The sequence below is a fragment of the Homo sapiens genome, chromosome 7 (assembly GCF_000001405.40).
Source record: "Homo sapiens chromosome 7, GRCh38.p14 Primary Assembly".
NCBI lineage: Eukaryota > Metazoa > Chordata > Mammalia > Primates > Hominidae > Homo > Homo sapiens.
This window is the reverse complement of record NC_000007.14, coordinates 125,268,277-125,282,827: the sequence shown is the minus strand read 5'-3', so window position 1 is coordinate 125,282,827 and position 14,551 is coordinate 125,268,277. Positions and strand designations below refer to the sequence as shown.

At 35.1% G+C, this 14,551-nt stretch overlaps 1 long non-coding RNA gene across 1 annotated transcript in view, besides 1 other annotated feature; it reads right to left on the bottom strand.

Moving 5' to 3' along the window:
• Positions 1 to 14,551, bottom strand: part of LOC101928283 (uncharacterized) — a 194,753-nt gene that overhangs the window by 96,494 nt on the left and 83,708 nt on the right. The gene's annotated exons all lie outside the window — the stretch shown is intronic.
• Positions 2,398 to 2,899: an enhancer, noted in NCBI's record as "NANOG hESC enhancer chr7:124919983-124920484 (GRCh37/hg19 assembly coordinates)". NCBI's record gives its function as "activates a minimal SCP1, AML or CMV promoter by ChIP-STARR-seq in naive H9 embryonic stem cells {active_cell/tissue: H9 hESC(naive)}" and the evidence as "EXISTENCE:reporter gene assay evidence [ECO:0000049][PMID:30033119]".

The window sequence follows — 14,551 nt, the reverse complement described above, 5'->3', positions numbered from 1 at the left end:
TTCACGCCATTCTCCTGCCTCAGCCTCCCGAGTAGCGGGACTACAGGCGCCCGCCACCACGCCCTGCTAATTTTTTATATGCAATTGTTGATAACCAAATCAATTTTCATGTTTTAATTTTAGGAAAAACTTTCTCTCATATATGACCATAACTCACTAGTTATAAGATAATCTGATGGGAGTTGGAGGCTGGACTTAGTGAATATCCATTTTCACCAGGGAGCAATAAAGAGAACATGCAACTGTACTGTACTAAAAAATAGGGCACTAAAATTTGAAATTAAAGAAGACAGAAAGTGAGGGCACAATGTAAATTTACAAGTATTTTCTTCCAGAGTTGCCTAAGTCCTCTTAAGAAAGGCAGTACGTGGACATTCGTCTACTTTCATAAGGAGTCTACAAGCCAGAAAAGTATGTGTGACAATGAGGTAGAGAAAGCAAAACAGCTACAAGTTGAAGAAGAAAAATCAGTGACTATAAGACCATTAAAAAGATAATATTTTAAAATAAAAATGATAGTGTATTAAAGTCAAATGGACAGAAACATTTGTTATAGATGTAGTGTTATTAGATATCTGTGATACTAATCATCATCATCAACATCATAGCTAAAAATTACTAAGTACTTACTATTGGTCTAACACCATAATGTGTCTATCTACTTCTTCAGGCAGCTATTTTCTCCAATTTACAGATAAGTAAATTAAGACTCTCAGAGTTTCCTACAGCCTTACAATGAAATCAAATAATTTATCTTGAAGTCAGATGAAATTAGAAGTTAGACTAGAATCCTGGGTGTTTTGTTTTTTTTTTTCCTAATCCATTAGTAGAATTTAATCCTTTTTTTTTTTTTTTTTTTGAGACAGTCTTGCTCTGTTGCCAGGCTGGAGTGCAGCCATGGGATCTTGGCTCACTGCAGTCTCCACCTCCTCCTGGTTTCAAGCAATTCTCCTGCCTCAGCCTCCCAAGTAGCTGGGATTACAGGCACGTGCCACCACGCCCGGCTAATTTTTGTGTTTTTAGTAGAGACAGGGTTTCATCACGTTGGCCAGGCTGATCTTGAACTCCTGACCTCAAGTGATCTGCCCGCCTCGGCCTCCCAGAGTGTTAGGGTTACAGGTATGAGCCACTGAGCCTGGCATTATCTTTTTAATCTCCTGTTTAACTGTGACTTATTTTATTAAATCAGTTTTGACTGTCTGAAAAAATGCACTGTATTTACAGTAGATCATTTCTAGCATTAATAACGTATAGTAGTTCAAACCCTTAAATAAAAGAACATTGTTTTTGCTTATAAAACTTAAAAATATAATGTCTTTATTGAGTTAATTCTTTCTAGACATGTTCTTTATAAAATGGCACTAAGTTTATAGCTTCCATACAAAAATAGTTTTTCGTTCCTTCCTAAATACTAAATAATCTACCTCAAATTTAAACTAGCACATAAATTTCACTAAGAGGTGTCTGTATACCAATCTATTGGCTTAAGTATAGGACAGAGTTGTTGGATTTTCTCTATGATGATTTCTAAAAATATTTTGGTGGCATAGCAATAATTTGGTGAGATGGCAAATTATACAACCCTGCCGAAAGTATAATTATATATTTTATTTCTCCATGCTAAAGACTGAAGTCCAGCATATCTTAGAGAAATGATAAAAACACAGAAAATATAATCAGGCTTCCATTGTAGCTTTACATTTCACTCCAAGGATTATGCTTGAATCTATAAAATACTCTCAGACTATATATTTTTTTAAATAAAGGAGACAGTGATATGGATAATTTAAAATTGTAAACAATTCTAAAATAGTTTCGTTGGTCTGTAGTATAAATTATTTTATTTTGGAGCTAATTTATCTTCCCAGGTGTGCTTGTCTTAGGCTAAAATTTTATTCCTATTTTTGACTATGTGATTGTTGAATAATCAATTAGGTCACGGGATGACCTAAAAGTGCATGGGAACAGAAAAAAAAAAAAAAAAATCCTACCCTAGAACTCCATGGAATAGAATTGGAACAAAAGAAACGTCCTTAAAAGTGGACATATATGTTAGATATTAACAAAGAGAAAACTTAGGCTATAGGGCTTAAATTCAGCTATTCAATCTAAAAACCTTTATGTAGTTCAAGTAACTTTCATGAATACTGATGTTTTTTCCTTTCATTCCTGCCTTTCTTTACATATGAAAGGAATGATACATGGAAGCAAACAGGTTCCCCTGGTCTATTTGCCATGAACAACTTGATATTCTTCTAGGTGGTATTTACAATGAGGAAAGGAGGGAAAGATAAATTAGAGCTCTCATTTTGTTGAAATTTCATTTTAGTAATCATCCTAATTTTATAGCAAATTTCTTTTTTCACCTAGCATATGTTCCATTCAGCACATATATTTCAAAAATGTATGTTGATCCCCAATTTTGAATTTTGGTTCTTTGTCATTCTGATGAATAGAAAGATGCATTTTTAAAAGCTGTCATCTGGGAATGAGTCAATGTTCTGCAGATCATTGGCAGGTAGGCCAAAGAGTTATTCCACCAAATTATATTCCCAGCAGGAGAGGATGTAGACACTCTAACAAACTCTGGGCACGGTGACATCTGTATCTTTGGAAAGAGACCAATTTGCATACCATCTGGCACCAGACAGTTGAGCTCCTTGAAGTGGTAATGGAGAGACATTTTGGTTCTGGTAATCAGGGTTACAGCTATGTGGTGAGTTAAATGCTCCACACAGAGATGCTGACAGGAGTATTACAGCCCTGAAAACGACAAACTGGGTGATGTCAATGGGCTGACTAGAATTATTGCAACAAAAGGAAGCCATCTAAATTGGAGATTTTTGTTATTTTGGAGAATTCAGAAAGGCTTATATTTCATATTAATTCACAGTATTGAAGTTAAGTTCATCCTTTGAACATGTTAGTTTTTAAGACATTATTCTTGAGACTCAATAAATAAGCATAGGGATGTTCTTTCCTAGGTGCAGCATACTGTGTGTGTAAGTAACAGCTTGAGAGAAAATTACAGTCATTAGGGTGCAATGGTAAAGAGTTTTTATTTCTATTTAATTCAAATTAAATCTGATTCAAAATACATGGGGAACAGGGATGGTTGTTGCCAGGAATGCTATTAAAGCTTCTGTTCAGCATTTCTGAGGACCCTTTATTAAAACGAGAGTGACAGTATCATCCTATCCAGTGCTGTTCTGTTTGCTATCCCTTCACAAAGCCCTAAACACAATTGCTTCTGGTTTAAAATCGGGGATCAGAGACAGCAGGCAAGGTAGTAGAGGCATGAATATAAATATTTACATATTAGAGTTTATAAAAAAAATAAAACTTTTACCATTTACAATATTTTGCTTATAAAATATTGTATAAACTCTGCACTTGGCTTGTGACACCTGCGTTTTTATAATGAATTAATTTTATTTCATTAATTTTATTGTTTCTTTATACAATGAATTGATTTTATTTTATTGCGTTGCCACGCTCATACTAAAGTAATTTTTATATAAACTTCTACTAACTTCTAGTAAAAAATACTTTATGTACTTGTTTTAAATTGTTTGCAACAATTCATGCTATTTCCTGCCCATCATCGGTTGTGATAATTAATTCTGTCTTACAATTTATGGCGCCTTTATTAACACCAACCAGAGATGTTACTTATAGCAAAGCACCCTATTTCTTCCAATCTTCTTTCTTTCTTTTCTTTCTTATTATCTTTTTGTTTTCATTTTCTTTTATTCCAGAAGCAGATTTTATAAATTTCCAATTGCTGCTGTAGAAACTTGCTATAAATTTAGTGGTGTGAAATAACACAAACGTAGCATACTAACGTTCTGGAGGTCAAAGATCTTAGAATCAGTGTGTGAGCAGGGGTGAGTTTTTTATGGAGATTCGAAGAGAGAATTTATTCCTTTTTTTTTTTCCAGTCTATAGAGGCTGCCTACATTCCCTGGCACATGTTCCTCATCAGCAATAGCACCTCTCTGACCCCTGCTTCAAATGTCTCCCTCTTATAAGGACCCTTATGATTATACTGGGCTCATATGGATAATCCGGGATGATCTCCCATCTCAAGGTTCTTAACTTAATCACATTTGCAAAGTCCTCTTTGTCATGTAAGGTAACATATCCACTGGTTCTAAAGATTAGGACACAGACAACTTTGTAGGCATATTATGTCACCTACCATATACATAGAAAGAACTAAATGATTATATCAGAAGGTATCAATTTCCACCAATGTTAACTGCCACTGTATTCTGACAGATGGTGTAAAACTGTCACAGTTAGCAATGTTCCCTCCCAGGAAAGGAAACAGAAGTCACACTCCTGCCTCTAGAGAGTCATTGATTCTCTTATGCATGAGTCTTATTGAGCAATATTCTGAGACTGTAGGAAAAAAAATACTCTCTCTTCTCAAGAAGCTTAAAACCTACCATAACAAAAAGGTAGGTAAATAAGTAATTAAAAGGAAGGGTAATGTGGTAACGTCCATGAGTTTACTCCAATATATCAGAACACAGAAGACAGAGAGACTACTTCCACTCCGGGTCATCAGTGAAGACTTTATTTTTATTTATTTATTTAGCAAATATTTGTATCGCTCTTACTTTGTTCCAGACATAATTCCACATATTTTTCAGACATTACCATTTAATTATTCTACCAATCATCTGTGAAACTTTATTATTATCATCCCAATTTTACAGATGAAAATATCTGGGGTATAAATAGAAGAGTTAAACAAGGTCACATACCTATAAAGAGGTTTGAACCTAGGCAGTTTAGCTTAATAATTTTTTATAACTACTGCACTAAGCAGCCATGTTCAGGTGAATATCTATGTCTCTAGAGTATCCATTTTACACCAACATGTTTATAGATGACCAAAACTCCAAATCACTGGGCCATGTCATCCAAGAGCTTCTTAAACTTTCAAATACTCTTAACATGAATCTTTGAATTTAGCACAAATGTACAGCTCAGAAAACCTTGATTTGAGGAATTTTAGCTTATTAACAATTACCTATCAGGGTATTCAGTTAGTTTCATGTCTGGAACTTCCTCTCTCAGTTCTTGGAATATGTTTTGATTTGGTGATGTTTTGTTGTTTGTTTGTTTGTTTTGAGACAGGGTCTCACTCTGTTGCCCACACTACAGTGCAGTAGCATAATCATGGCCGACTGCAGCCTCGGCCTCCTGAGCCCAGATGATCCTTTGGCCTCAGTCTCCTAGGTAGCTGGGACTACAGGCACAGGCCACCATGCCTGGCTAATTTTTGTAGTTTTTGCAACCATGGAGTTTAGCCATATTGCCCAGGCTTGTCTTGAACTCATGGGTTCAAGTGATCCACCTGCCTCAGCCTCCAAAAGGGAATATGTTTTTCTCTTTGTGAGAATTATTAAGCTATATATAACTTCACGATACCAACAAGCAAGAAAACAAAGTGGTAAATACTTACAGTCAGAAAGCTCTGGATATAAATCATATCTCTGCCATTTGCTAGCCATGAATAAAGACATACCCAAGACTGGGCAATTTACAAAAGAAAGAGCTGTATTGGACTTACAGGTCCACATGGCTGTGGAGGCCTCCCAATCATGAATCAGAAGGCAAGGAGGAGCAAGTCACATCCCACATGGATGGCAGCAGGCAAAGAGAGAGCTTGCGCAGAGAAACTCCTGTTTTTAAAACCAGATTTCATGATACCCATACACTATCATGAGAACAGCATGGGAAAGACCTTCCGCATGATTCCATCATCTCCCACCAGGTCCCTCCCACAATACATGGAAATTACAGGAGCTACAAGATGAGATTTGGGTGGGGACACAGAGCCAAACCACATCATTGCACCCCTGGCCCCTCCCAAATCTCATATATTCACATTTCAAAACCAATCATGCCTTCCCAACAGTCCCCCAAAGTCTCAACTCATTTCAGCATTAACTCAAAAGTCTAAAGTTCAAAGTCTTATCTGAGTCACAGCACCATCTAATCAGCTGCCAGCATGGCCAGGATATAAAGCAGGCAGAAAAATGTGAAAAGGCTAGACTGGCTTAGCTTTCCAGCCTACATCTTTCTCCCATGTGGAATGCTTCCTGACCTTATACATCAGACTCCAAGTTCTTTAGCTTTGAGACTTGGACTGGCTTCCTTGCTCCTCAGCTTATAGATGGCCTATTGTGGGACCTTGTGATTCTGTGAGTTAACACTACTTAATAAACTCCCCTTTATACATATATCTATCCTATTAGTTCCATCCCTCTAGAGAACCCTAATAAAAACAATATAATATATTCAAAATTATACACATAGAAATCTACATTGCCAGAAACATAGTAGATAATAAATGCAATGTTTGGTTTAACACTTTAATTGAACTCCTATTATTCCCTTCTAAAATGTTATTTGTGATAAAAGCTTCACCAATGGTAACAGAAAGATAGAAGATAACAAATTATTGGCATATCAGTGTTTGATCAAGAATTCTAACTGTTTCAAGATAACATCTAGTTATTTTACCCTGGGCCACAATAATTATTTGACAAAAAAAGTTATAACTCATGAATTATTTTTTATTAGATAGGTTTGTGCCTAAATTTGCCCACTGGTTGTGATGAAAGCAGTTAAATTGATCGTTCTTTAGGGACAATTGTATCTTCAACAAAATATAAACTGAAAGTAGTATAATACCCAATTTCATTGAAATTAGAGTTTCAGAATTTATATACGTAATCTAATGAATAGTTGCTGGCTGAATCAAAGAAATTACTTTAGAAAATTTAAAACAGTTCCTGACATCTGCTCTTGGGCCATTATTTAATTAACTTTACAGCAGGAGGGGTAATTATTATAAAGTTAATTGATCAACTAGGCCTTTCTACCAGCAGGTAAGAGCTGATTTTCCAACTGCAAATAGGTATGAAAAATTTAAAGCACATGTTCAGGCAGTCCCAGAATTACATACATAGCCTTTCTAATACCAATCATTTCATCTAGTATTTTTTTTTGAAATTTTAATGCAAAACACTTTACAAAAAGGACCACATTCAATTGACAGATTAAAATCTATGTTTGGCTTTTTAAAAATATTTCCCCTCTGCCTCATTTTCCAGATGAGTAAACTGAGGTTTAGATAAGTTTTGTTTTTTTTTTTAATTGCTCAATCATATAGTTAGACATTGGCAGATCCAGGACTTGAATTCAGGTATGGGCATTTCTAAAACTCATTTAAGGCTATTCAGTTTTTAATGTTTTTATGAATAAGCACAAAAAACATTATCTCTATAGATAATCACAGGAAATGTCTTTTCTGGTCTGCTATCTATAGGTGTTACTTTTGTCTCCCAAAGCTATCATACTGTGTCTGGAATTGGTTCCTTCCAGTGGGTTCTTGGTCTTGCTGACTTCAGGAGTGAAGCCGCAGACCTTCACAGTGAGTGTTACAGCTCTTAAAGGTGGCGTGTACGGAGTTGTTTGTTCCTCCCGGTGGGTTCATGGTCTCACTGACTTCAGGACTGAAGCTACAGACCTTCGCAGTGAGTGTTACAGCTTTTAAAGGTAGTGCAGATGCAAAGAGTGAGCAGCAGCAAGATTGTATCGTGAAGAGTGAAAGAACAAAGCTTCCACAGTGTGGAAGGGGACCCAAGCAGTTTGCCACTGCTGGCTCGGGTGGCCAGCTTTTATTCCCTTATTTGGCCCCACCCACATCCTGCTGATTGGTCTATTTTACAGAGACCTGATTTGTCCATTTTACAGAGAGCTGATTGGTCCATTTTACAATCCTTTAGCTAGACACAGAGTGCTGATTGGTACGTTTTTACAGAGTGCTGATTGGTGCATTTACAATCATTTAGCTAGACACAGAGTGCTGATGGTGCATTTTTACAGAGTGCTGATTGGTGCATTTACAATCCTTTAGCTAGACATAGAGCGCTGATTGGCGCATTTTTACAGAGTGCTGATTGGTGCGTTTACAATCCTCTAGCTAGACAGAAAAGTTCTCCAAGTCCGCACTCAACCCAGGGAGTCCAGCTGGCTTCACCTCTCATAATTAAACCTAAGATTTTTCTCAAAATACTATTACTAAAGTCAACCTCAAAATTAATTTCAAACTAATCTCAAAAGTATATTAGCTCCACAAATAAAAAAATAAGTATTTTGAATCAGATTTTTTAGATTGTAGTAGGAACACTATACATGAAATACACTCTCCTAACAAATTTTTAAGTGTGTAACACAGTTTTGTTAATTAAAGGTACAATGTTGTGCAGCAGATCTCTAAAATTTAACCACCTTGATTAACTGAAATTTTATATCCATTGAATAGCAACTTCCCATAAACTGCATGATTGGATTTACCACAAAGATTACTTACGTTAGACTTCAGCACAGTCTAAAATGAGGTATCTAAAATAATCAAATAGACGGTGTATTATCATTTTGATGTGCCATTGAATTATTTTGCTAGTATTTGGTCAAGGATTTTGTGTCTATATTCATCCAGGATATTGGTATGCAGTTTGTTGTTGTGTCCTCATCTAGTTTTGGTATCGGGGTGATAACAGAACTCATAGAATGAGTTATGGAGAATTCCCTCCTCCTGTGTTTTTTTTTTGGAACAATTTTGGGAGGATTGGTATCAGTTATTTGCATATTTGGAAAAACTCAACTTTGAATCCATCTGCTCCTGGGCTTTTATTATTGTGTTGGAAGAATATTTATGATGGATTTAATCGAGTTACTTATTATTGGTCTGTTCAGGAGTTCTATTTCTTCGTGGCTCATGCTTAGAAAGTTGTGTTTTTCCAGCAACTTATTAATTTCCCCTACATTTTCTAGTTTGTGAGCCTGTAGTTGCTCATAGTAGTCTGTAATGTCTTTTTCATTTTTGATTTTGTTTATTTGGATCTTCTATTCTTTTATTGGTTGGTCTAGCTAGCAGTTAATCAATTTTATGTTTTTGAAAACCGACTTTTTGTTTTGTTGATCACTTGTACTCTATTTTTGGTCTCAATTTCATTTAGCTCTGCTCATTTTTGTTATTTCTTTTCTTCTGCCAACCTGGAGTTTAGTTTGTTCTTGTTTTACTAATTCCTTGAGGTGTGAGGTTAGGTTGATGACTTGTGATTTTTTTTCTTCTTTGATGTAAGCATTTAATGGTATAAACTTTTCTCTTAGCGCTGCTTTTGCTATATCCCAGACATTTTGGTATGTTGTGTTTCCATTTTCATTCATTTCAAAAAAATTCTAAATTTTGTCTTAATTTTTTCATTGACTCAAAAATTGTTCAGAAGCATGTTATTTAATTTCCATGTATTTTTATAGTTTCTAACGTTCCTCTTGGTATTAATTTCTAGTATATTCTGCTGTGATCTGAAAAGATACTTAACATAATTTTGATTTTTTCAACTTGTTGAGACTGATTTTGTATCCTTACCTATGATGTATCTTGGAGAATGTTACATGTTCAGATGATAAAAATTTATATTTTTCAGTTGCTGGATAAAATGAAATGTCTACCAGATACATTTGGTTTACAGCCAAAGAAATAATCAATAGAGTGAACAGACAGCTCGCAGAATGAAAGAAAATGTTTGAAAAACTGTACCTTAGACAAGGGATTGATAGTCAAAATTGACGAGAAAAATCACACAACTCAACCAAATAAATAAATAAATAAATAATCCCATTAAAAAGTGGGTAAAGGACATGAACAGACATTTTGCTAAAAAAGACGTACAAATGGCCAGCAAGCACAGGAAAAACAGGTCATCAACCCTAGTCGTTAGAGAAATCCAAATTAAAACCATAATGAGATAACATTTTATACCAATCATAATTATTAAAAAAAAATTAATAGAGGTTTGCAAGAATGAAGATAAAAGGGAATACTTGTACACTGTTGGTGAGAATGTAAATTAGTACAACCTTTGAAAAAAACAGTGAGGTGATTTCTCAAAGAACTAAAAAGAGGACTACTATATGATCCAGCAATCCCACTACTGGGTAATTACCCAAAGGGAAAGAAATTGTTACCTCAAAAGGATACATGAACTCATGTTTATTGCTGCACTATTCACAATAGCAAAAATATGAAATCACTGTATGTTTACATCAATGGATTACTAGATTTTAAAAAATATGTTGTACATATGCAGAATAGAATGCTATTCAGCCATGAAAAAGAATGAAATCATGTCTTTTGCAGCAACATGGATGGAACTGGAGGCTATAAGAGAAATAACACAGAAGCAGCAAGTCAATTACCACATACGTGGAAACTAAATAATGGGTATTCATGGGCATAGAGTGTGGAACGATAACAATGTAGACTTGGAAGGGTTGGGGGCTGGGAACCGTATAAAACAAGAAACTACTTAACAGGTACAATGTGTGTTATTCTGATGATAGACACACTAAAAGCTCTGAATTCACCATTATACAATATATCCATGTAACAGAATTACACTTCACTTCATAAATTCATACAAATAAAATAAAAAGTAAAAATAAAATGAATCAAACACAGAAAAGCAGAGAGTAAACAGTGGTTGTCAGGAGCTGGGGAGAAGATGAAGTAGGAAGCTGAATCACATGTTTTTAAAGTAAAAGTTGAATCCACAGCTAACACAACAGCAAAGTCATTTATTGTCTTTAACAAGAAATTGTTGAGTTGATAATAGGCTGATCATTTCTATCTGTCATCAGAATCAGAGGAGTGTGGAATGTAAGATATCAAGCATTATAAGTATATTTGAAAAAGCATCAAATTAATTGGGAAAAGAAAAGCCCAATTTTTATTTTACAGCGAAAAAAATCAAAATAAGTTTATAATACAAAATACTTTTATGTAGGTAAATTCTAAAAATGCTCTCAACTGCACAGAATGATGCCTCAGAGTCAGTAAGAAAACTGGATCTGAAAAAGGCAAACTACATAAACATAACTACTGGCATCTTAGCACGTAAATTTGAAATATGACACATATTTTATTAATTACATATATATTTTTCAAAAACCTATTTTTTTCAGTCTACCCTCAGATTTCAAATCGACTTGCATTAGCCTTTTAAGATGACTGACAAGGATAAGCCAATTATTTTTATTGTCCCATGTTGTCTCATATGAAAAATAAAATGAGATTTTTCAATGATATTTGTATGAGCTGTGTCATGCTATAGTTACAAAAGACAAAACAAAAGCCTTGAAATCTCAGTGGATTCAAGCCACAAAGTTTTCTTTCCTGCTCATTTTTGTTCATACCTCATGTCCAGTATAATTTAGCTAGGGGCACTTGCACCAAGCTACCCTCACTCTTGAACCCAGAGTGATAAAACAGCTACTACCTGGAAAATCATTTCCATCTCAGAAGGAAGAGACAGTCTAGTGCATGATAACTTGGATAAACGTCCATCTAGAAGTGATTCGTGTTCTCCCTGCATTAAGTTTTCTGGTCAAATCAAGAAATATGACCATTCCCAAATTCAAAGTAAAAAGCAAGTGTGAGCCTATCAACTTGCCAAGGAAAAGAAGCAGAAGTGCTTTCAGGCAGCATCAGAGACTATAACAATTTACCTTCTGGGTTGCCAAATATGCAGTTTATGCTCCTTTCTACATTTCAGAACATAAAGAAAAACCAAAAATTATACTTAATCTCTGCCTCAGGCGCAAAGTCTAATGTCTGAGCATGATGACTGGCTGTGTCTTCATTTGATTTGGTTGCCATTCCTCTTGGTACAGAAATCTATAAACTTAAAATCCAATTTGTTTGCTTCCAGTGCTCTTAATATATGATGATGAAGCATCAAAAGGAAACTCACAGTAAATATTCCATTTGATAGAAAAATGATGGGAGAAGCAGCAGTTACTTATGCATAGAAAATCTATAACCTATTTGCATACTATGCAAGATCCTCTACACTAGATTATGAAATGTATCATTATTAGGTCCTAATTCTTCTCCACTGAAGGCCTCCCCAGTCTCTTATGCCCTGGCTCTACATTTAGGTAATTCCTCCTTTCTGATTTGCCAGATGCCATCATCATTCTTCACAGAACTAGAAAAAAACAATCCTAAAATTGATATGGAACCAAAAAAGAGCCCTCATAGCCAAAGCAAAACTAAGCAAAAAGAACAAATCTGGAGGCATTACATTGCCCAACTTCAAACTATACTACACAGCTATAGTTACCAAAACAGCAGAGTACTGGTATAAATATCAGCACATAGTGCAATGGAAAGAATACAGAACCCATAAATAAACCCAAATACTTATAGGCAACTGATCTTTGACAAAGCAAACAAAAACATAAAGTGGTGGAAAGGGCATCCTATTCATCAAATGCTGCTGGGATCATTGGCAAGCCACATGTAGAATGAATCTGGATCCTCACCTCTCACCTTATACAAAAATCAACTCAAGATGCATCAAAGACTTAAATCTAAGACCTGAAACCATAAAAACTCTAGAAGATAACATCAGAAAAACTCTCATAGACATTGGCTTCGGCAAAGAATTCATGACCAAAAAGCAAGTGCAACAAAAACAAAGATAAATAAATGGGACTTAATTCAACTGAAAAGCTTGCACAACAAAAGAAATAATAAGCAGAGTAAACAGACAACCCACAGAATGGGAGAAAATAGTCATAAACTATGCATCTGACAAAGGACTAATATCCAGAATATACGAGGAACTCAAACAAACCCAGAAGAACAAAGCAAATAATGCTATTAAGAAGTGGGCAAATGACAGGAATAGAGAATTCTCAAAAAAAAAAAAAAAAAAAAAAAGGATATACAAACAGCCCACAAACATATGAAAAAATGCTCAACATCACTAATTATCAAGGAAATGCAAATTAAAACCACAATGAGATACCACCTTGCTCCTGCAAGAATGGCCATAATTTAAAAATCCAAAAATAATAGATGCTGAGATGCATGTGGTTTTTTACCACATCCTTAATATTTCCTTTTTAGGAAACACTTTTACACTGCTGGTGGGAATGTAAGCTAGTACAACCACTACGGAAGACAATATGGAGAATCCTTAAAAAACTAAAAACTAACTTTTGATCCAATAGGAAATGAAAACCAATTATCATACAAGAAGAGGGTGGCTGCTGTAAAAATACCTAACCTGTAGACATGGCTTTGGAATTGGGCAATGAACATAGGCTGGAATAATTTTGAGGAGTATAATAGAACAGGCTCACTAGAAACATAGCCAGATTTTATTAAAAGGAATAGAAAGATGAAGTAATGAAAAAAGGTGTTGACTTCCAAAATTCTAAGAGCAGGAAACAGGCTGGTAAAACTACTAACCTACTGTGCCATCCTTCATGAAAAAAGGAGGACAATTATAAGGAAAGAGCCACTACTCTCAGGATTATTCTCAGGCCTTTAAATTCAATGGAGTTTTCCATCTGAGATTTTGAAATTGGAATTGGTGTCTCCTTTATTCTTCCCTTGTCTTCCTTTTTTAATGTGAATGTCTATAACTTGTGTCTTATTCCTGTCCCATCATTGTATTTTAGGAGCAGGAAACTTGTTTCCTAGTTTTATAAGTCTAAAGATAAAGGAACATTTTCCCTGTGGATGGATTTTACCCAGATTCTCACCCATACCTGAGTTAAATGTTTTAGGTAATGAGATCTGAAACTTTGAGCTAATAAAATTTAGATGAGTTTTTTTTTTAACTTTTAGTTGATTCTGTAATTAGTTGAGACTTTTGAGAATATTGGAGTAAATAAGGTGAAAGTATTTTGCATGTGGATTGGACATGAATCTTTGGATACAAGGGGATCCTAATGCTGCAAATTGCAACCTCTTCCCCTAGGGCTACAAGTTCATTAGATACTGACCTGCTTTGTTATCATCTCAAAAACTTCACCAACATTTTCACCACTACATAAGATAGATGGCATGTTTTCCAACATCCATTCATCATTTATTCACTAAGATAGGCAGAATAATGACTTCCAAAGATATCCACATCTTAATTCCACGGAACTCTGATTATGTTACCTTACATAACAGATGGGACTTTGTATATGTGATTAAGGATCTTGTGGCAGAAAGACTGTCCTGGATAATTCAGGTGGACCACTGTAATCACAAGATTCTGCAAAAGTAAAACAAAGGCAGGATAGGCAGAGTCAGAGAAAAAGATGTGAGAACAGAAGCAGAAGTCAGAATCCTGAGAAAGACCTAACCGGCCATTGTTGGTTTTTAAAAAGAGGACAATAAACCAAGGAATTTCGTCAGCTTCTAAAAGCTGGAAAAGTCAGGATATAGATTCTCCTCTAGAGCCTCTAAAAGAAACAGTTCTGCTGCTACCTTGATTTTATCCAATAAGATCAATGCTATACTTCTGACCAAGAGAAATGTAAAATAATACATTTGTGCAGTTTTAAGCCATTAAGTTTGTAGTAGTTTGTTACAGCAGCAATAGAAAATGAATACAGTGGGAACTATACCTTTGGCCTTTTTTTTCCCTGTGCTATTTTGTCCAGTTGAATGGACCTA